Below are 21125 nucleotides of genomic sequence, written 5' to 3'. Positions count from 1 at the left end.
AAGTAAGTTGTATACACCCCTACCTCATTGTGTATCTCTTAAGAACAAGGACACCAGCCGGGCGTGGTGGCTCACGCCTGTAATCCCAGCACTTTGGGAGGCCAAGACGGGCAGATCTCCTGAGGTCAGGAGTTCAAGACCAGCCTGGCCAACATGGCAAAAACCCGTCTCTACTAAAAACACAAAAATCAGCCAGGCGTGGTGGCATGCACCTGTAATCCCAGCTACTCGGGAGGCTGAGACAGAAGAATCGCTTGAACCTGGGAGGCGCAGGTTGCAGTGAGCCGAGATTGCGCCATTGCACTCCAGCCTGGGCAACAGGAGTGAAACTCCATCTCAGAAAAAAAAAAAAAAAAAAAAAAGGAATTAAACTACCATCAGAGTGAACAGGCAACCTACAAAATGGGAGAAAATTTTCGCAACCTACTCATCCGACAAAGGGCTAATATCCAGAATCTACAATGAACTCAAACAAATTTACAAGAAAAAAACAAACAACCCCATCAAAAAGTGGGTGAAGGACATGAACAGACACTTCTCAAAAGAAGACATTTATGCAGCCAAAAAACGCATGAAAAAATGCTCATCATCACTGGCCATCAGAGAAATGCAAATCAAAACCACAATGAGATACCATCTCACACCAGTTAGAATGGCAATCATTAAAAAGTCAGGAAACAACAGGTGCTGGAGAGGATGTGGAGAAATAGGAACACTTTTACACTGTTGGTGGGACTGTAAACTAGTTCAACCATTGTGGAAGTCAGTGTGGCGATTCCTCAGGGATCTGGAACTGGAAATACCATTTGACCCAGCCATCCCATTACTGGGTATATACCCAAAGGACTATAAATCATGCTGCTATAAAGACACATGCACACGTATGTTTATGGCGCCATTATTCACAATAGCAAAGACTTGGAACCAACCCAAATGTCCAACAATGATAGACTGGATTAAGAAAATGTGGCACATATACACCATGGAATACTATGCAGCCATAAAAAATGATGAGTTCATGTCCTTTGTAGGGACATGGATGAAATTGGAAATCATCATTCTCAGTAAACTATCGCAAGAACAAAAAACCAAACACCGCATATTCTCACTCATAGGTGGGAATTGAACAATGAGATCACACGGACACAGGAAGGGGAATATCACACTCTGGGGACGGTTGTGGGGTGGCGGGAGGGGGGAGGGATAGCATTGGGAGATATACCTAATGCTAGATGACGAGTTAGTGGGTGCAGCGCACCAGCATGGCACATGTATACATATGTAACTAACCTGCACAATGTGCGCATGTACCCTAAAACTTAAAGTATAAAAAAAAAAAAAAAGAACAAGGACACCAGCCAACATAATCATGATCATATGCTGATCATACCCATGAAATTTAACATTGAAACAATACTATTATCCAGTATACAGTCTGCAATGAAACTTTAATCGTCCCCTTGTCCTTCATGGCTTTTTCTTTTTAAATCCAGAATCCAAATAAGGCATTGCGTTTGGCTGTGAAGCCTCTCTGGCCTCCTTTAATCCAGAACAGTCCTTACCCTTGTCTTTCATGCACTGGTATATCCTACAGAAGCTCTCACCATCTGGATTCGTCTGTTTTCTTAGATTTGGGTTGAACGTTTTTGGCAAAAATACGGGTTATGGTTCCCATCGAACCTCATCAGGAGGCACATAAACTAAGTGTCCCCCATCATTGGGCAAGTGGGGTCTGCCAGATCTCTTCATGGTAAAAGTGCATTTCCCCCTTTTATAATTAATTGAATTATAATTTCCTCTTTAGAATCCATGGAGTGACACTTTGAGACTAAGAACCGTCTGGGTCTCAACCATCTATTCCTGAATGTCTTTGGTATCCAGTGATGATTTCTGCCTGAATCAAGTATTGGTTGAGTGACTTTCCAGCTCTATCCTCCCTTCTACACTTACTACCTGGTGTTCTTCAGCAAAGACCTCCCCCTCCCCAGGGCTGGCAGCATGATTTGTGGAGTCCAGTGCAAAACGAAAACGCAGCGCCTCTCTTTCAAAAAGCAATTTCAAGATGGCAACAGCTGAGCACTAAACTAGGCACAGGGCCCATGTGGCTATGGTGGCTGCACATCCTTGAAGCCAGCCCTGCCACAGCCCATACGTGTGTGCATCTCATCAAACGTCACTGCTCCCAAGTGTCCCCACTTAGGCCAATGAGAGCTGCATCAGGCAGGCTCCTTTTTGATGTGTTCTTATCCATTTTCAAGGACTTTGTCCTTCCTGGAACAGTAAGATGATCACAGGCTCACTTTGTTCCTTCCTTGACCCAAATCCAGAGTCAGCCATTTCTCCGAGAAACCCTAGCTCCATTCAGTGAGGGGAATGGTTGGTTAGAGCCAACAGCTTCAGAGTTAGAGACCAAGCTCTTGTGCTGGGCATGCTCCCTGCCACTTGGGCGTCATTGCTCCTGGTCCTCTTGGATCTGTTAAGATCAGGTTTTCTTTAACATCATGAGTTGATACTGATTCCTCCCATTCAAATCCACGTGACAGGGCTTTTCCTCACCTGCCCATCTTCCATAATCGCATCTCCCTCTGCCACAGTGAGGACCCTGGTTCCCAGCCCCTCCTAGGGTTTCTCACTCTGTTTCCCACAACACTCACCAATAGCCTCCGCTCCCGACAACAAACCCACAACACAGAGTTCAAGATGTTTTAACTTTTTGTTCCTAAGAGTATATTCCAGGGATATATTCCACATATACTTGATTTTTGTGCAGCTTACTGATTTGATGTACATTTAGGTTCATAAATCTGTGCTTCACAGAAAGGTTTGCCATTTTCCTTTTTTCTACATTTTCTTTTTTGACGACGTATAACATTTTGTATCATTCAAGTCACACCTATAAAAAGGAAATGTTCAAAGATCTCCCCATCCTGCCCTTCCCCCCTTTTCTCAGTCATCCTTCATAGGTAGCATTTTTTACCCCCACAGGTAACCTTTTTTTACCCCCATAGGTAACCATTTGTATTAGCTTTTATCTTTCATGATTCTATTTGAAAAAAATAAGATTATTCATGGATCTTAAACAAAAGGTAGCATACTACATGCCATCTTTTGCACTTTGCTTGACAAGCACATTTGGTAGCCTCATCTGCATGTACTGTGTCTATACTTTCTGGGATCAGTGGGATGAGAGAATGTGTTAATAAAAATGTACCAGCAGAATCATTTATTAACAACAAAAAACGTCTCTTCTAGCATCAGTTTTTAGGACCTCTCGATAAAATGAGGGGGCTGGGGCCAGGCATGGTGGCTCACGCCTGTAATCCCAGCACTTTGGGAGGCTGAAGCGGGCAGATCACCTGAGGTCGGAAGTTCAAAACCAGCCTGACCAACACAGAGAAACCCTGTCTCTACTACAAATACGAAAAGCCAGGCATGGTGGCACATGCCTGTAGTCCCAGCTACTTGGGAGGTTGGGGCAGGAGAATCGCTTGAACCTGGGGGACGGAGGTTGCAGTGAGCCGAGATCATGCCATTGCACTCCAGCCTGGACGACAGAGCAAGACTCCATCTCAAAAAGAAAGAAAGAAAAAAAAAATGAGCGGGCTGAACTAGTTGCTCTCCGAGGTCCCTTGCCATTCTAGCAGCCTAAATTATCCTCCCAGGAAGGGCACAGTGTAATACAGCAATAACCTTCATGTCTCAGGAACTAAACTCTATTTACTTCTGAACACCAGCAAAATTATTTTTGTAGTTGCAAAAGTTTTCAAGGACATGTTGAAGACCTGGAGCCTTTGGATAGGGAGGCTGCGAGAAGGAAAAGAGAAATAATTAACAGACCAAATGGGGTTCCGCATTCCTTTAAGCAAACTCAGTACAAGAAAATGGAGACTTATAGAAAAGCAAAATTAGGAGCTAAATGTTTATTTTGATCAAGGAATCTTTTGTTAGGAAAACCTTCACTTATAGGATCCTTTTAAATAGTATGTTTCTCTAGAGCATTGAAAATGATTCAATCTTCAAAAACCTGAGTCACCTTTTTTCCAGAAACACCCTTGTGTTTATTATACATCTATCTGTAGTATCTGAATGTAGATCTTTTAAAAAGTAAAAAGAATTGACCTGGCGTGGTGGCTCACGCCTGTAATCCCAGCACTTTGGGAGGCCGAGGCTGGTGGATCACCTGAGGTCAGGAGTTCAAAATTAGCCTGACCAACATGGTGAAACTCCATCTCTACTAAAAATACAAAAATTAGCCGGGCGTGTATTTTTAGTAGGGATGGGGTTTCACCATGTTGGGAAGGCTGGTCTCGAACTCCTGACCTCAGGTGATCTGCCCATCTCAGCCTCCCAAAGTGCTGGGATTACAGGTGTGAGCCATTGCACCCAGCCGAAGTCTTTTTCTTTCTTTTCTTTTTTTTTTTTTTTTTTTTTTTGGAGACGGAGTCTGGCTCTGTCGCCCAGGCTGGAGTGCAGTGTTGCAATCTCCACCTCCCTGGTTCACGCCATTCTCCTGCCTCAGCCTCCTTAGTAGCTGGGACTACAGGCGCCCGCCACCATGCCTGGCTAATTTTTTGTATTTTTAGTAGAGACAGGGTTTCACCACGTTAGCCAGGATGGTCTCGATCTCCTGACCTCGTGATCCGCCTGCCTCTGCCTCCCAAAGTGCTGGGATTACAGGCATGAGCCACTGTGCCCGGCCGAAGTCTTTTTCTTAATGCACTATGAATACACAGTAAATACACACTATAAAGTACTATTTTTAAAACAGGATTTATTTGTTACATTATAAACTCAGCAGCACACAAAACCAAGTAGTGAATACATCTTTTTCCCCCCTTTTAAATGAGAGGCAACTTTTCATCTCCCAGTGCTCTTGGGGCCACAGAAAAGGGGGCCAGGTAGATGGAAGGACTCAGCACTCTGGGGTGGGGGGTGCTTCGGGGATCTAAGTGGAAGAGGTGATAGGGCCGGCGGTCAGCTCAGGGACTCCCCCAGTTGGGGTCCAGGGTCTGCTGGTGTATCTGTACCACTGCTGGGACTTTGGTAGTTCAGTGTTGTGCACATACAAAATGTATGCCTCTGTGAGGCACACGATGTAAGTGCTGAAGTTCTGTGCAAATTTATTAGCACGAACTGAAGGTACTGTCATTGTTTAACTCATCCGACCTTTTAAATGGATAACCAACCTTGAGGCTTAATTGGATTTAAAAAAAAAAAATCAATTTCTAGCCATTGCATAGTGTTAAAATGAAGTGCTGCATTCTCAGGCAATTGTAAAATCAGTTTTGCTCAGGACTATTTTTTATTATTTACCACTTTAAAATGACATTATCCATCTTGATAAGCATTTTATGTACACACATACCTTTCATAAACAACCACAAACGTACACGTACGTACACTGACTCACGTCACAAAAGAATCATTATTTTCTGTTGAGCAGCAGGCTGATTCATCAGCAGCAATCTCTTCACACCAATTACACAAAAAACTGAGCTGGGGATAATGACATACCACTGCTTGCAAATCTCTCAGCCTCAGCCAGTCTCATCTTTGTAATAAGAAAAAAATCCTTGAGGAAGCTTTTTACCAAATCGCATCTTGACCATTAAATCTTTCTTGAAGAAGGTCATTTAATTTTATGGAAAGAAATGAAAAATTAAAATGGCATAAGCAGAAATAGTCCTGATCTGGAAATCAGAAAACTGACGATTCTAGTTCTAGTCCTGTGGCCTTGGCAAGAGGGAAACTTGGGTCTCAGTTTCCCCCTCTGGAAAAGGGGGATGTTGGGATGGGGGGCGTTGTTCTCATTCCCCCACCGTTGATGAAAATGGAGGTCTATTATGGTGTTGTGCGTCAGAACACCAAGTTAAAACACGGACACACACACACACACACACACACAGAGACACACAAAACATTTGATCCTTCAGCACTTCCTCTGAGAAAAAGAGACCAAATGATGCATACGAGGGTCTTCTGCCTCCATTACAACATGTAATCATTTGGATGATTAGCTAAAAGCAATTATAGAATTATAGTTGACAAATTGAAAACGCTAAGCCCAGTGGTCTCTTGCAACTGAGCCTCATTTAAATGTGCATTGTGTTGAATGGAGCCTCATTTAAATGGTCCATCTTAGCCAGGTTACGGAACTGAAGTGGAGAACCACACAGTTACCCCGAGCATTCAGGACAATCCACAGAGCTAATTTGGACAATTGGACAAATGATTATTTTCTTTTGCCTCAACTGACCAGATAATTGTACACAAGTCTCTGCCATTTGACTCCATGGAATGTCTCTTTGTGTAGTAAGAAAGCCTGGCCATAGACTGGTACCATGACGTCTGCCCGAGGGTGGCATGGAGTTGGGGACAAGACACACGCAGCTGACACCCACCATCTAACTCCGAGTCCTAAATCAGAAGCACTTTCATACGTGCTAAAAGTCTCTGCTTGCACCCAGGGTTCTCATTAGTTCCTTCTAATACCCATCACTTGGGAGGAGGTTGTTTTCAAAACAGAATTAAAACCATCAGGCAGCAAGGTTAGAAGTGGCATCTGGGTGGTCAAGAAAATTAGTGTTTTTTTTTTTTTTGAGACGGAGTCTTGCTCTGTTGCCCAGGCTGGAGTGCAGTGGTGCAATCTTGGCTCACTGCAAGCTCCGCCTCCAGGGTTCACGCCATTCTCCTGCCTCAGCCTCCCGAGCAGCTGGGACTACAGGTGCCTGCCATAACGGCCTGCTAATTTTTTGTATTTTTAGTAGAGATGGGATTTCACCGCATTAGCCAGGATGGCTTGATCTCCTGACCTCGTGATCTGCCTGCCTCGGCCTCCCAAAGTGCTGGGATTACAGGTGTGAGCCACCACGCCCGGCTTTTTTTTTTTTTTAGACGGAGTCTCGCTCTGTTGCCCAGGCTAGAGTGCAGTGGCACAATCTCGGCTTACTGCAACCTCTGCCTCCTGGGTTCAAGCAATTCTCCTGCCTCAGCCTCCCTGGTAGCTGGGTTTACAGGCGTGTGCCACCACACCCAGCTAATTTTTATATTTTAGTAGAGACGGGGTTTCACTATGTTGGCCAGGCTGGTCTCAAACTCCTGACCTCAAGCGATCCACCTGCCTTGGCCTCCCAAAGTGCTGGGATTATAGGCATGAGCCACTGCACCCGGCCAAGAAAATTAGTTTTTAAGAGCTAATATACGCCAAGATATACAATTCTAGGCATGCATTTATGTGCATGCACAGTGCTAGGTTCTGAAATGTAGTTCATGTTGGATGAACCAGGCCTGCCTACCTAAATCTTAGAAGGAATGGAAACTTACCATAACTAATCGATGAATTAGAACCACAGAGAAGCAGGAAGTCTTTGTGATGAGCTGTCTTCTCTACACCCAACTAGGGACATCCCTTCTGTGAAAAGATCTCTCCACATGGTCCCACATGGCTTGACTAGAGTAAGGGATGCTGATCACAATTAAGGCCCCATGTAGAATGACATGCTATCCTATTAGATTTAGATAGAAATGGTGCTAGGCTAGGTAAATTTTGTTGTGGCTACGTAACTATGGCAGACGGACCAGGAAGGATTCTAGATTGCTCAAACGTTGGATCAGGATCAGACTTCTTATAGGATGGTTGCTAAATTTCACAGAGGAAATCCATATCCAGCCTGTTTACCTGCTGTCAAAGTGAGCATTCAAAGGGACACCCCAGTGGCTCCCCACTTCCAGGCCTCTTGGCAAGTCATGCCTCCAAGTCATTGGTGGCATCCTGCAGCTCTCCACTGACAGCAATGCTTCTGCAGACTGCGTCTGCATACTCTTGTAGTGCTGGTTCAAGACTGGGCCACCAAAGACTCAGCTGAGAACATAACCCAAGAGGTCACCAAAGAGGTGTTGCCGCCTTTATGTGGTCCCCTTCGGGATGGAGGATTTCTTCAATGTTATTAAATAGCATTGCCGGTCAGAATATTCTTGAACCCTATGGCAAACGTCTCTCCCTCGAGAGTGGATTTGATTCTTGGACAGAGCCAGTGGCCAACATGCGAGTTGGGGAAATGTAATTTCTTAACAAAAAACACGGTGAGAGTGCAAGAGGAGGAGGTTGTTTCTTTTGTGTGGTTTGTTGACAGGCTCTGAAGGGTTCTGCTGTTGAGTCGCCGCAACACCTCAGGACCAAACGCCAAGGGTGCCAAAGAGACCTGGCATGACAGCTGCTATTTTTTGTTTGTATAGGTTCTGGTGATGAAACCACATACCCCTACCATCACTCAGGTCCACATCTCCCACCAGCAAAACAAATGCATCAAAGTCAAGTTTCAGGACAAAGGTCCTCCTCGGAGGACCCCAGGACAGGCACAATCAAGGGGAAACATAGTCTTGGCTTTGAGTTAAACTGGCAGACACTTGTCTCTCAAGTTTTTGGTGTAACAGAGTAGGAAACAAAATCATTTAGAAAGTCAAGTCTCTTACAGCCTGTGTGTAAGAATTGCTTCTCAACAAGGCACATCACAGTTTTATTTGGAGATTTCCAAATGTTTCTTGGTATGTATATAAAGCATATATTTTCATAAGAAAAATACTTATCTGCCTTTTAGGCAGTTGTTCTTTTTGTATATCAGATAGTAAATAGATTGTCCCTTTGAAAGCATCCATTAGATAGATCTACTTTCGGACACTGAGGCAAAGGCCTCAGGCACAAAACAGAGTCAGGGGCCCAGAGGATCACAAAACTGGCCAAGCCCTCCCCTAACACAAATGCACTGGAAGAAAACATGAACCCATTGTTAAAATTAATACTAGGATTGCAGGATGTTCTTTAATCTGCGTGATTGCTTTATTGTACAAAAAGTTTCCAGTAACAGTAAATTGGTTTTAAAAAAGGACAAAAAAGTCATTTTGGATAGAAGTGCTTCACTAATTGCTTTATTTAAGCATACAAGAAAAAAAGTTTTATCTGACCAATTACGTTGGAAGGGTTTTATTACCTTTAAGAAGCCATTAGCTAGGATAAAACACTGAAAGCACTTGTGTCAAAACAAATAAATAATGTAAATAACGCTCTCTCAATTAGCAGAGAAAACAGTGAATCCGTTAAATCAGAGACACACATCACTTCACAAGCATGGCCCAGCCAGCACCACCACCCCCAAAACGAACAAAACAAGAGACAGCAGTTTTCAGTTACAATCTTGGGAAAGATCAGGAGCTTTGGAAAACGCGTGGTAAACATGTCTGTTTCTCCTTCTACCTCCACTCAACCTGAGCTGCACCCGGACACTTTAAAGGAGGCATGTGTCCAGAGGCTGCATCCAGGGATGCCCAGAGGGAGCCTGCCCTGCTAGGCCTCCTCTCAGAGGGCGCATCCCAGGCAGAGGAGACTGGCCTGGGTGATCGTTACCTCCACGGCCCAGTAGAGTGTGGAAAAACATGAGGTGCCCACAGACAATGGCTGCCAGCGAGTAAAGGGAAAGAAACCCTGAGGTACCATGATTCTTTTCTCTTACTTCCTCAAATGCTACTGATCTCTCCCCAAGTACAGGCTCAACAGAAAAATACAGTGGTTTGAGGACCCCAAGAAGTCAGCACACAGGCCAGGGGCCAGCTCCAGGCTGGGTCTGTCTCTCCCACCTTGGGAAACCCAGCGCTAAAACAATTTTTTTTTTTTTTTTTTGAGACGGAGCCTCGCTCTGTCACCCAGGCTGGAGTGCAGTGGTGTGATCTCGGCTCACTGCAACCTCTGCCTCCCGGGTTCAAGCTATTCTCCTGCCTCAGCCTCTTGAGTAGCTGGGATTACAGGCGTGTCCCACCCGGCTAATTTTTGTATTTTTTGTAGAGACGGGGTTTCACCATGTTGGCTAGGCTGGTCTCGAACTCCTGACCTCGTGACCGCCTTGGCCTCTCAAAGTCTGGGATTACAGGCGTGAGCCACCGAGCCCAGCCCCTCCTTAAAACAGTTTCTAATCAGATCCGTTATTTTACCCAAATGGGTTGAGGGAACAAAAACCAACCCTCATCACCCTATTTGGTGAAAATAAATATAAAAAAAGATGATCCTCTCTTAAAGGGTCACTTTCCTTCAGGGGTTTGTAAGGCTCAGCACTTTAAAAAGCTTGAACAGAAGTCCGGTATTGCCACTGTGGACTGTTTTTGAGGCAAGTTCCCTAATGTGGACAGCCCCACACCTAAGAGCAGCAGATCTAACTTGGAACGTCTCAACCATGGGTTAAAATCAGATGGGATGAAAGAACACCTGCAGTGACTCTCAACAGCTACGGAAGTCTCACATTGCAGGGCTGACTGATGAGGTGCTGGCTTCTTATTCTCCGGCCCTCTTTCCTAAGCAATGTTTGTCAGGGAATACCAGGTCCGCTTCCTGAAATGCCAGGGCCCCTCTAGGACCTTATCATTCCACAGCCACATCAGTAATAGGAAAACCACCAATGGCTACCTGGAGGTGGCACCAACTTGGAAAGGGAAGGCTGGGCAGGGGTTTGGACACTAAGCCCATGAGCTGTTTGGACAACTTCAATCTCTGGAATTGAGTTTAAATTTCTGTAAACAACTTTAAAGTCAACTCTAGAGAGACATTTTGTGTGACTGGTCCAAATAAAACAGCACATTTAATGAGGTCATATTCTTCTTAAACTTTTTAAGAGAAGCAAAAACAATGGAAAAGCCATTAAAATTTACACAAAGACCATTAAAACTCTACTAGTGTCAATTAAAACAAAGCCAATAAAACATGAACAACTTCAAAGTTACCATCACTTTCCACACTGTTCTACAGTTATAGGAATATATTCAAGCACCATATTGATAATAGGTAGGTAAACGATGAAGTCCTACTTTGGCGGTCTGACCCACGCTCACACAAACGAGGAGCTTCCTAGTCAAGATGCCCCCAGTCCTTGGCAATGTGCCTGCTTCCTGGGCATTGCTCAGTGGCAATGGAAGAGCCAATAAATCAAATCGCTGGTGGAATATTTTACTTTGAAATGGAGTGATGTTTGGTTAATAATTTGAGATCCACTAATCCTAAATGGGGTGACCCATTTAAAATGGCCTCTGTGTAAATTCACAGTTCATTAAATAGAGTCTGGTTTGAACAGGTCATTATGTAGTTAGTATATAAGTAATGGATTGAGCAAGGATGGCTGGGGATACCCATGGGGACACACTGGCTGAGTCTGGTGGCTTTCATAACACTGTCAAGCTTTCTTTTAATGTGAGATTCATTTAAATCACCAACTTAAATTTAGGTGGTTTTGCTTAGTAACCTCTTTTGGTTTACAGTAGAAAATGCAGTGCAAAAATTTTAAATGAGGAATATTCCATTTACAATTAATTTAAAACTTATGAAGCTGTTTTAACTGGCCCATCTAAATGTGTTAATTAACATCAATGATGGTTTCTTATTTTTCACACTTTGTTACTCTGATCATTAACAGTGATGGAAAAGCTAAATTAAGTTAATGGGGAACGGATTATAAATTCTTAAAGGACTTCTTAGTTTGTTTTCAACTGGAAAATATATAGAGAAAGATGAAGGGGCATTTTTGCCTCTACTCATCAATTTTTGGTACCAAATTTCTTAAAAACCAGATGGTTTAAAGAAAATTTTTCCAAAAATTATGTTAACATTCTGCTCAGACATGGCTGCTAAAAAAATAGCATATACACATATAATACTGAACAGCTTCTGCAGTGCCTGTAAACTCTCAGCTCATTTTCTCTTTCTAAAAAAAATATATATTATAACTGATCCCAGAACTCAATCTCTATTGTGCAGCAGTATCAAAGGTCCTTAAATTCTCAACAATGAAGGAAAAACAAAAACCCATTCCCCGGACCGCTTGAGCAGGACTAGGGAAGGAGGAGTCCGTGGATGCAAAGGTTCGCTGCCCCGACGCCCTCAGATTCCTCGAGGCTGCACCTCTGCGGGCAGCTGGCGGGGCGCAGGCCAAGCCCCTCACACCCGGGAGATCCACACGCGCGGCACACACGAAAACCCAATGCCACTTATCGAGACTTCACGCCAACGAGGACAACAATGAGCACAATGATGATGACAAATAATATTAAAATCACAAGCATCTTCCGATTCTTCTTTTGATACTGTTCTGCCTACAAAAAGAGGAGGGAAAAAAGGCCGTCATTTTCCCCAAAATCCCAAATCAAGTCCCACTCGTTTCCAGAATGAGGCTTCCAGATCTCTCTGCACAGTGACTGAGGTCTCTGCTACAGGCTACATGATTGTAATCCCTCCAATCAATCCCACGGAATTCAATCACCAGGAGTGGAAGAGCCCCATGATCCTGGTGCTGCTTATTTACCCTGGACGTGGAAATGGATTTGTTGGAAACCTACTACTAAGACAAAGCCTGACAGGGAAGTGAAAGCTCATGCTTCCGGGTGCAGCTGGGCCTGCTTCTCCCGGCTTTTCCTCCTGCAGGCCGTGGCAAGTGCCCCTGCAGCACGGGTCGCCTGTTCCCGGTCCGTGTTCCTGGAGCGAATGCACAGTTCCTTCACCGCGGAAGGAAACAACGGGCTGGAGGACCGTACCTGGCAGGTAGGCAACAGACACCCGGAAGAGGCCCCATTTCGACCTCCCCTAAATTTGGAAACAAAAACTCATCCTTTGAAATAAAAACAGACACGTGTGCCCCATGGATGTCATATGCAGAAAGATCCCTCTGAGGCGCGTCCTCCCAGTGCCGCTAACGATACAGCAAAGGAGCCCTCCAAGCTCAATCTGGGGACGAGGCTGCACCCTGCACATCTCTTCACCTTAACACCGCATCCTGGAAGCTCGGCAGGAGCGGGAACTCCATCATGCCTGCTAGAGAAATGCCAAAGGGCCCCACCTGGCTGGCGAAAGACGCAGAGCACTGAGAAAGGAGAGCCAGAGGACAGCAGAGTTCAGAGGGCGCCGGGAGGCACGTCCAGGGAGAGCATGCGCTGCCTCTTCCAGACCTTGCTATGGCACAGGAGGGAGGAGGAGACAGCGGGAAGGCAGCCCTGGCGAGAATGGCAATCTCTCCTGCTCCATCCCCCGCGGTGGGCTTGTTTCCTAAGTGAGCCTGCCCGCCCACCTGGAGGAGCCCCTCATCCACCAGGAGGAAACATCAGGCACGGGGACAGCACCGAGAGTCCGGTCATGGGGAGCAGCTCCCGACGCTCAATCACCCTTAGACTAGCCGACTGCCGAGCACGCGCGTGCTGCCTACAGCCTTGTGGCTGGAGGGAAGATGGAGCACGCTGACTTTTCTAATAAGTAACCCAGAACACCAGGGAAGCCAATACTAAATAATATACTGTAAAACCTCTCAAAATGATTTATAAAGTAGAACCTAAAACAAAATTTTTAGTTCCCACTAGATTTGCTCACTCCCGCAGAGAAAGCTTTTCCTTTTATCTGTGTTATATTACAAAACATATTTCACTAGTTTTTATTTAAGAAACTTCAAAACCAATGCATAATTCAGCAGCACATCAAAACCTGGGTATTACAGAGTGAGAAACTTAAGTTAGTTTTCACTTTTAATAGACAGGGCTTGGCAACCAAATTAATCTAAATGCTTAAAAAAACCCTGCATAGACAAGGTCAGACTTCTCTTCCCACCACAGGCTGGAGTCTCATATCCACCTACACATGGCAACAAGCCCCCTGAAAAGACAGCTCAGGGCTTCTGGTTAGACTAGTGCAAGGGCTGACTTTTTGTAAACCCAATACTGCTATTAAATGGGGCGATCTCTGGTATAGGAAGCGACTGATTTCAGAAAAATGGTAGAGTAGTCCAACAGTGAATTGGCAAAACACTCATTATATGGCTAGAAACTCCACTGGGTCTCAAAGATACAAGGAAATGGATATTATTTAATTTGTGAAGTATTGTTATATTCCTTTTAAAGAAAATACGTAACCAATTATATATGAGAGTCTCAGCCGTTTATGCATGTTTCTTATAACCGATAAGATTCCTAAGATGCTTTCCATCTATTTTTTTAAAAGAGAATATCATAAAAACATCCCTGAAACAGCTACCTTATTAGCACAGAATAAAAGAATTACTACTCTCACTTCAACAAACTTCTCTTTTCTCAAGGTAATACAGATATGCTGTGGTAATTAAAGAGAAGATTAGATTTTTATCTTCTGCAGAATGATTCTCCATCAGCAATTCATCAGGAATGTATCACAAGAGAGGCCCAAGTCAACGGCAACAAGCAGACAGATTTTCAACACATATTTTAGCAAATGCCCAATTGATTTCCTAAAACAAGAAGCATTAGAAAAGAATGAAATATTTTCTAAAAGAAAGAACTCCAATCTCTTTAGAATTTACTGTCACAAAAAGGAGTTCTTAGCAATTTTGGATTTAAGTGTGAGATACACCTGGAATCATTAACTGCAATAAAACGGCAACAGCCCCCACAATTGGCTTTAAATGAAATGATGAATCCCTTTTTACACTACTGTATTGAGAGTGGACAACACAAGAATGCTGAAGATCGTTATGGTGGAAAAGAACCCTCTTACCAATTCTTGATTATTTGAAAATAGTTCCTAAGATTCCCAAGTCTTGAAAGACATATTACCTTGTGAAGCTGTTTCAAACCATCTTCAGTTTTGATACAGGACTGTTCAACGTTATAGTCAATTCTGTCAAGGACTGTACCCTAGGTAATAAATGACAGTTACAGACAATCAACAATAGCAACTGGGAAAACTGAACGTCAAAAATGAGATATGCAAATTACAGACATCATCATCCATAAGATGATGTTTTCCTTCCCTGTGTGCTGCAGGTACACACGGAGGGCTCTGGAGTTCACCCTCAAGCAGTGTCAGGAGCTCGATGGCAGAATGCTGGTTAGTGCCATCACATCTAGCTCACGAGAAAGAAGTACTGACAGACTGAGGTTTCCTTATTGGTTTCAGCTGCCATAGAAATGCCATATTCGGACTTCCTGGGGCCCTAAGAAATCTATGGTCCAGTGGACAGAGGCTCTGAGCAGCACAGAAGCTCTGCGCCCATTTGCTGCCTACGTACTTGGATTCAAGTAAGCAGAGAACACCAGGTAAGCTCGCCCCTGTCATAAGTAGACCTGCAAATTGACTATCACGTCTATAAACGTGGATCCACATCTCTATGGGTCAGAGCAGGAAATGGTAAACTCCAGTCTACCACCTAAAATTAAAAATTTGGACTCAAGGGGAAGATGTTTAATTGTTTAATCTCTTAAACAATTAAATTGGAAGACGGGGACACTGGGCTATGAGGAAGAACAGAGCTTTTATTGGAAACATGCTGGATTAGAAGAGATAGCAGTTCACTGGGAACCACTGGAGTAATTAATGTAACTGGATCTTCCAGAGCCTGAACACTCCATTCTGCAGTTGGTTTCAGGGGGATCAGGACCCAAATCCCTGCTGGCAAGATAATAAAATGCCCTAATCAGATTTTAACGGTGAACAACAATTTAATTCTACTTGAACGCTAGTGGTTCCAATTGCCATTACACAATAACCTGCCAAAATTAGAAGGGAAATCTTCTATAGCGTCAGAATCATTGCTGAGCTCGGTCAGAGTCAACTAGGTCTCTAGAGTAGGGTGCTCACATGAGTACCCTCGAGGCATGGGAAGAGAATATTAGAACTTCATTTATCAAAAAAAGATTTATTAATATTCTTATAGGGAATGACAGTAGCCTATGTATATAATTTGTAAATACACACATATACAGGCTGAGTATCCCTTATCTGAAAAGCTTGAGACTAGAAGTGTTTTGGATTTGGGATTTTTTTTTTAGATTTTGGAATATTTGCATACACATAATGAGATATTCTGGATGGGACCCAAGTCTAAACACAAAATTCATTAATGTTTCTTATACCTTTATGTTTCATATACCATTAATGTTTCATATACATAGCTTGAAAGTAATTTTATACAATATATATATATATATTTTTTGAGACAGAGTTTCACTCTTGTTGCCCAGGCTGGAGTGCAATGGTGCAATCTCGGCTCACTGCAACCTCTACCTCCCAGGTTCAAGCGATCCTCCTGCCTCAACCTCCCGAGTAGCTGTTACAGGCACCTGCCACCATGCCCAGCTAATTTTTTTGTATTTTTAGCAGAGACGGGGTTTCACCATGTTGACCGCGCTGGTCTCGAACTGCTGACCTCAGGTGATCCATGTGCCTCAGCCCCCCAAAGTGCTGGGATTACAGATGTGAGCCACCGTGCCCGGCCACAATATTTTTACTAGTTTTGTGCATAAAACAAAGTTTTGACTGCAACCTGTCACATGAGGTCTTGTGTAGGGATTTTCCACCTGTGGCATCATGTTAACACTCAAAAAGTTTTGAATTCTGGAGCATTTTGAACTTCATATTTTCTGATTAGGATTGCTATGTATATATATCCTTTGAGTGTCATATTGGCACTCAAAAAAAAGTTTCAAATTTTGGAGCATTTTGGATTTCAGATTAGGAATGTTCAACCTGTATTATCATATATCATATTATTATTGCATTCCTCTCATTTAATCCCTAACAAGCATCCTATGAGGATGGTACTATGATTATTAGTCCCATTTTACAGATGAGAACACTAGAGTCAGAGGGATTAAATGAGAATCATGTAACTGTTAAACTGCTAAGAGCCAGGGTTCCAACATTCCAACCCCCCAGGGCTTTTCTCAAAGCACCACACTCCTCTGATAATTAGCACCCAGGAGACTTCAGTAAAAAATGTAAACACTGAGGTTTCAACACTAGTCCTATTATTTTAAAATTAATCAAATTTAATATTTGATTAATATTAATATACACACACACACACACACACACACACACACACACACCCACACACACATAAAGGACAGGTGCACACACATGTTGGGAAAATTGGCTCCAATTTTTTTCCCTGAAAGGAGTACAGGAAAAAGAAGGTACAGATAGTATGGCAGGAAAACCTATTCACGAGGAAGGCCAGCTCACGTACCTGTTCTACAATCATCGCCCCTAAGTCCCTGAATATTTCATTCAGGTCAGAAATGGACTGTACAATCTGGCGAATCTCTCGTTCCCGCTCTTCCACCATCAGTGTGTTCTGCTCCACCAGAACTAACTGGTCCTCTGTAAAACCCTAGCAAGACAGTGCACAATGTGTTGGATAGATTGTTTTCCCTCTCAGGAAAGCTATGGTATACTTGTTTAGATATAATTTAAAGACAATGAAAATAATTTAAAGAAAATGAATTCTGAAAATATTTCTACAAAGCACAGTAAGCACTCATTTTTCCCTAACAGGAAAGATTCAAATTCCCTAAACCAGCAGGATCTAAAGCTCTGAGGCCATAGCAGGGAAGACAGAAGCCCACGTCTGCCAACTCCACAAGGGCAGATAAACAAAACCCCCGGGATAGCCCTCTGTTTCTCTGGGCTCTTCCTAAGAAGGCAGGGTGTTGACCACTTTCCCAAAGGCTCTGGAAAGCAGATTACAAGGTCTCCCTGTGGCCTTTGGAAAGGAAGAAACAGTACGGCTGTTCTTCCACCTGCTGCAAAACAACCTGATGAATATACAAGTCAACTGTATCAATCCACTGACACTGCACAGAAGATCGAGGTCTAGGAGGTGAAAGATGCAGAATGGGGTGCACAGACACAGCAATCAGCTTTGCAGCCCGTTCACGTACCCGATGGTAAAGAGTGTTATCGTCTCCATCATCCATTAGTGGTACTGATGTGTCGAAAAAATGCTGGGATCTTTCCTCTCGATTCTTCATGCCTATCACAGATAGGAATTCATTTTACTTGAATATGTAAACCATCCTGAGTATTGTTCTACCATTAAAAGGGGGAATTCTAGAGTAAACTCCAACAGTCAAAATTGAGATATTCTTAGCCGCTTTAAAGAAGCCTATCTCCAATGGGGGTGGAGGGAGAGTAAAGGATTACAAACATACAACAATATGCAGGCATTTGGGATTACTCAAGACAAAAGTCACAGTGTAAATGTGCACAATTCACTTGATGCCAAGATAAAAATGACACAACCATCTGAGAATCTCTAAGTGAAGCAGAAATATTTAATCTAACTGCTGTTACAAAACATTTTAAAAAATCAGTATTTCTCTCTAGAAGCATCTCTAGTATGAATTCCATATGGCCCTAATCAAATTTTGGAAATAATAAAATTAAAATACAAATATGCCAGTTGTCAGAGGGAGGGAGAACTAGGTTTTTTGGAGTATGTGGGGACTTTATTGATTGCAAGGGCAATTTTAAAAAACCCAGTTTACAGGGTGATTAGAATGAGAAGAGAGCTGAAATCTGGCTTTGCACTATTTGGGAAGAAAAGGTCTGCTGGGTGAAACCTGTGGTGCCAGCAGAGGAAGTGTTTCAAGGACCCTGGGGAGGTTTTCTCAGGTGCTCTCAAACACTTTGGTTGTTATGCAAATATGTGGCTTTCAGTAATAACAACTGCTTTTTACCTATTGAAGAGCAGCTCTCCCAAACCCCAACATCCAGAAAACAACAGGTTTTTAAAATGTGCTTGGTTGATTTTCAAATTCTTGCAGCTTGACACAAAACAAATTTTGTTTGCTGAGATGCTGAACTATCTTGGTGCCCTCCCCCAGCCTTGGTCGGTACCCCACGCTGTGCCTTCATTCCAAGCCAGGGTTTCACATGGGGAGGAGGCTTCCCTTTACTGTACAAGGTATGAGCATGTTCAAAAGCTAACAATGAAAGGTACTGGACTAAATGAAAAAATAGTGGCAAAAAAGAAAACATAAAGTGCTTTTCTTACTCAAAATCCCTTCACTAGGCCCGGGCAGCACTCACGTTTGAGGTAGCCTGACTGTGCGTGCCGGAAGCTGGTGGAGAGTTCCTGCAGGGCCTGCGCCAGCGAGGCCACCACGTTCCCAAGCAGCCGCCCCTCCTGCTCGGAGCAGGCCCGGGCCCGGCTCGGCAGGGCCTGCACGGCACGCTGGCACCTGTGGAAGAGCTAAGAGAACAAGCCCGAGGCTCAGGGCAAGCCTGGGAGAGAAGCCCCTCTGCTAACACTGCCACATCACAAGCCAGAGTGAGAAGTGAGAGGCTCTGTTCACTCAGTCTGGTTTAGAGAAAGGTGAACAGATAAAAGGAATCTGTGGCTTCATTTATATACACAGAAAGATTTCACTAGATTTCAGCTCCTGCTATGTAGGGCCTGCTGTGTGCCCAGCTGCTCACATATCATCACGTTAGACAGGCTGAGTATCCCTCATCCGAAATGCTTGGGATTGGCAATGTTTAGGATTTCAAATTTCGGGAGATTTTGGAATATTTGCAGAATACCTACTAGTTGAGTACCCCAATCTGAAAATTCGAAATCCAAAATGCTCCAATGAGCATTCCTTTGAGTGTCATATTGGCACTCAAAAGAAAGTTTCAAATTTTGGAGCATTTTGGATTTCAGATTAGGAATGTTCAACCTGTATTATCATATATCATATTATTATTGCATTCCTCTCATTTAATCCCTAACAAGCATCCTATGAGGATGGTACTATGATTATTAGTCCCATTTTACAGATGAGAACACTAGAGTCAGAGGGATTAAATGAGAATCGTGTAACTGTTAAACTGCTAAGAGCCAGGGTTCCAACATTCCAACCCCCCAGGGCTTTTCTCAAAGCACCACACTCCTCTGATAATTAGCACCCAGGAGACTTCAGTAAAAAATGTAAACACTGAGGTTTCAACACTAGTCCTATTATTTTAAAATTAATCAAATTTAATATTTATAAAAAATTTTTTCTAGGATACTAAGTTGTTTTTTCAATTATGAGGACTATAATTTAGCATTGAAATTTCTTAACACTAGTATACGATATTAGTTATACATTTTAAAATCAAATGATTGAACTCGATAATGTTTGAAATTTCATATTTACTTAATCCGTCCACAGCAGTTATCTGCCAACAATTGAAAAACAGTCCCCATACCTCCAAGGCCTCACAGGTACCTACGCTGACAGCTGGAGGACTTCAGGGCCTCTTGAGGTCCCTCTGAGAACTTCAGGTTGGGAAATGACTCCAGGAGACTGATTCTGAGTAACACTCTAGTTTCTGAGATTGCCATGAGAAGGCTCGCTGGTTTCCCCAGGACTCACTTGCACTCCTCACCTGAGTGATCTCTTGGGTAGTTATCTCAATGGCATGTTCCTCTTCGCTGCTGTCATCCAGGGTGGGTCTGTTTAAATGCTTGTCATGAAGGCTGGCCAATTCTTTCATCTTCTGCTTAATCCGGCCAACATCATACTGAATCTAAGCAAATGAAGTCACAGAACTCCACTGATGCCAGGCAGGCTATGGTCTGCCTCCATCAGCTACACTCAGCATACAGAATTCGGTCTTCAGCAAACTTGTTGGCTTGCTGATGTGTGAGCAGCTTTTAATTCAAATTACCAGAAAATCACATTCTTCCTTGTTGCATGGGGTTTCAATTTCTTCCTATAATTCAGGTAGTTACTACCAATGTTAAAACTACAGCTAAAATCATTAACACACACATAGACAACTTAACCTAAAGCTAAAGTATTTCTAGAAATATACATTCAAGTGTAGCCAAATTCGTTTATATGACAGATATCTTAAAATACATTGTCATAATTACTTAAAAAAACAAGATGCTATGAAACTAACATGGAACTTACTTCATCCACTCCATCCACCCACTTAGGAGGTGGCCGTTTTGTCACACCAATCGCTGCTTCTGGATCTAAGCTGATGCCTGACACCAGTGCCATACGGTCATCAGCAAGCTACAGGAAAGTAAAGGGACATGAAAAAAATTATTCTAATCCAATTTAGATACAAATACTCTTACTCTCTCTTAAATGTTACTCCCTGAAAAGATACAGAAAGGAGTGAATGTTTACTCTCTCTTAAATGTTGCTCCCTGAAAATATATAGAAAGGAGTGAATGCACTTGCCTGTATTATAAACTTGCTTTTGATAACTGCTAGGATTTGGATTGTTTTCCTATCTTTTCATGCACCAGCTCTTAATTTCCTTGGACATACTTCAGAACGTAAATTTGACTTGATCTGGCTATAGAAATGTA

At 43.2% G+C, this 21125-nt stretch overlaps 1 protein-coding gene and 1 long non-coding RNA gene across 9 annotated transcripts in view, besides 6 other annotated features; both read right to left on the bottom strand.

The window, feature by feature from the left end:
* Window positions 1-21125, bottom strand: part of STX16-NPEPL1 (STX16-NPEPL1 readthrough (NMD candidate)) — a 64592-nt gene that overhangs the window by 27532 nt on the left and 15935 nt on the right. The window contains exons 3-8 of the long non-coding RNA NR_037945.1: window positions 20716-20823; window positions 20186-20326; window positions 18860-19022; window positions 17710-17801; window positions 17016-17159; window positions 14602-14682 (exon numbers count right to left, since the gene is read on the bottom strand). This is a non-coding gene — a long non-coding RNA (STX16-NPEPL1 readthrough (NMD candidate)). The remainder of the gene's footprint in view (window positions 1-14601; window positions 14683-17015; window positions 17160-17709; window positions 17802-18859; window positions 19023-20185; window positions 20327-20715; window positions 20824-21125) is intronic.
* STX16 (syntaxin 16) overlaps window positions 8787-21125 on the bottom strand; it is a 28244-nt gene continuing 15905 nt past the window's right edge. For 5 of the 8 annotated variants that reach the window (NM_001001433.3, NM_001134772.3, NM_001134773.3 and 2 more), the window contains 7 exons: window positions 20716-20823; window positions 20186-20326; window positions 18860-19022; window positions 17710-17801; window positions 17016-17159; window positions 14602-14682; window positions 8787-12126 (listed from right to left, as the gene is read on the bottom strand). In NM_001001433.3, the coding sequence (NP_001001433.1) occupies window positions 12022-12126; window positions 14602-14682; window positions 17016-17159; window positions 17710-17801; window positions 18860-19022; window positions 20186-20326; window positions 20716-20823 (834 nt within the window). In that variant the 3' untranslated portion in view covers window positions 8787-12021. The remainder of the gene's footprint in view (window positions 12127-14601; window positions 14683-17015; window positions 17160-17709; window positions 17802-18859; window positions 19023-20185; window positions 20327-20715; window positions 20824-21125) is intronic. The other 3 variants (NR_037941.2, NR_037943.2, NR_037942.2) reach the window with 1 other exon arrangement.
* Window positions 11436-11960: an enhancer, noted in NCBI's record as "H3K4me1 hESC enhancer chr20:57251409-57251933 (GRCh37/hg19 assembly coordinates)". NCBI's record gives its function as "activates a minimal SCP1, AML or CMV promoter by ChIP-STARR-seq in naive H9 embryonic stem cells {active_cell/tissue: H9 hESC(naive)}" and the evidence as "EXISTENCE:reporter gene assay evidence [ECO:0000049][PMID:30033119]".
* Window positions 11961-12486: an enhancer, noted in NCBI's record as "H3K4me1 hESC enhancer chr20:57250883-57251408 (GRCh37/hg19 assembly coordinates)". NCBI's record gives its function as "activates a minimal SCP1, AML or CMV promoter by ChIP-STARR-seq in naive H9 embryonic stem cells {active_cell/tissue: H9 hESC(naive)}" and the evidence as "EXISTENCE:reporter gene assay evidence [ECO:0000049][PMID:30033119]".
* Window positions 17013-17668: an enhancer, noted in NCBI's record as "H3K27ac-H3K4me1 hESC enhancer chr20:57245701-57246356 (GRCh37/hg19 assembly coordinates)". NCBI's record gives its function as "activates a minimal SCP1, AML or CMV promoter by ChIP-STARR-seq in naive H9 embryonic stem cells {active_cell/tissue: H9 hESC(naive)}" and the evidence as "EXISTENCE:reporter gene assay evidence [ECO:0000049][PMID:30033119]".
* Window positions 17669-18326: an enhancer, noted in NCBI's record as "OCT4-NANOG-H3K27ac-H3K4me1 hESC enhancer chr20:57245043-57245700 (GRCh37/hg19 assembly coordinates)". NCBI's record gives its function as "activates a minimal SCP1, AML or CMV promoter by ChIP-STARR-seq in naive H9 embryonic stem cells {active_cell/tissue: H9 hESC(naive)}" and the evidence as "EXISTENCE:reporter gene assay evidence [ECO:0000049][PMID:30033119]".
* Window positions 18327-18982: an enhancer, noted in NCBI's record as "OCT4-NANOG-H3K27ac-H3K4me1 hESC enhancer chr20:57244387-57245042 (GRCh37/hg19 assembly coordinates)". NCBI's record gives its function as "activates a minimal SCP1, AML or CMV promoter by ChIP-STARR-seq in primed H9 embryonic stem cells {active_cell/tissue: H9 hESC(primed)}" and the evidence as "EXISTENCE:reporter gene assay evidence [ECO:0000049][PMID:30033119]".
* Window positions 18359-18498: a silencer, noted in NCBI's record as "silent region_13075". NCBI's record gives its function as "represses an Ori minimal core promoter by ATAC-STARR-seq in GM12878 lymphoblastoid cells {active_cell/tissue: GM12878}" and the evidence as "EXISTENCE:reporter gene assay evidence [ECO:0000049][PMID:35858748]".

Source organism: Homo sapiens, chromosome 20 (assembly GCF_000001405.40).
Source record: "Homo sapiens chromosome 20, GRCh38.p14 Primary Assembly".
Classification (NCBI taxonomy): Eukaryota; Metazoa; Chordata; class Mammalia; order Primates; family Hominidae; genus Homo; species Homo sapiens.
The sequence above is the reverse complement of the archived record's forward strand: the minus strand, read 5'-3'. Positions and strand labels throughout refer to the sequence as shown.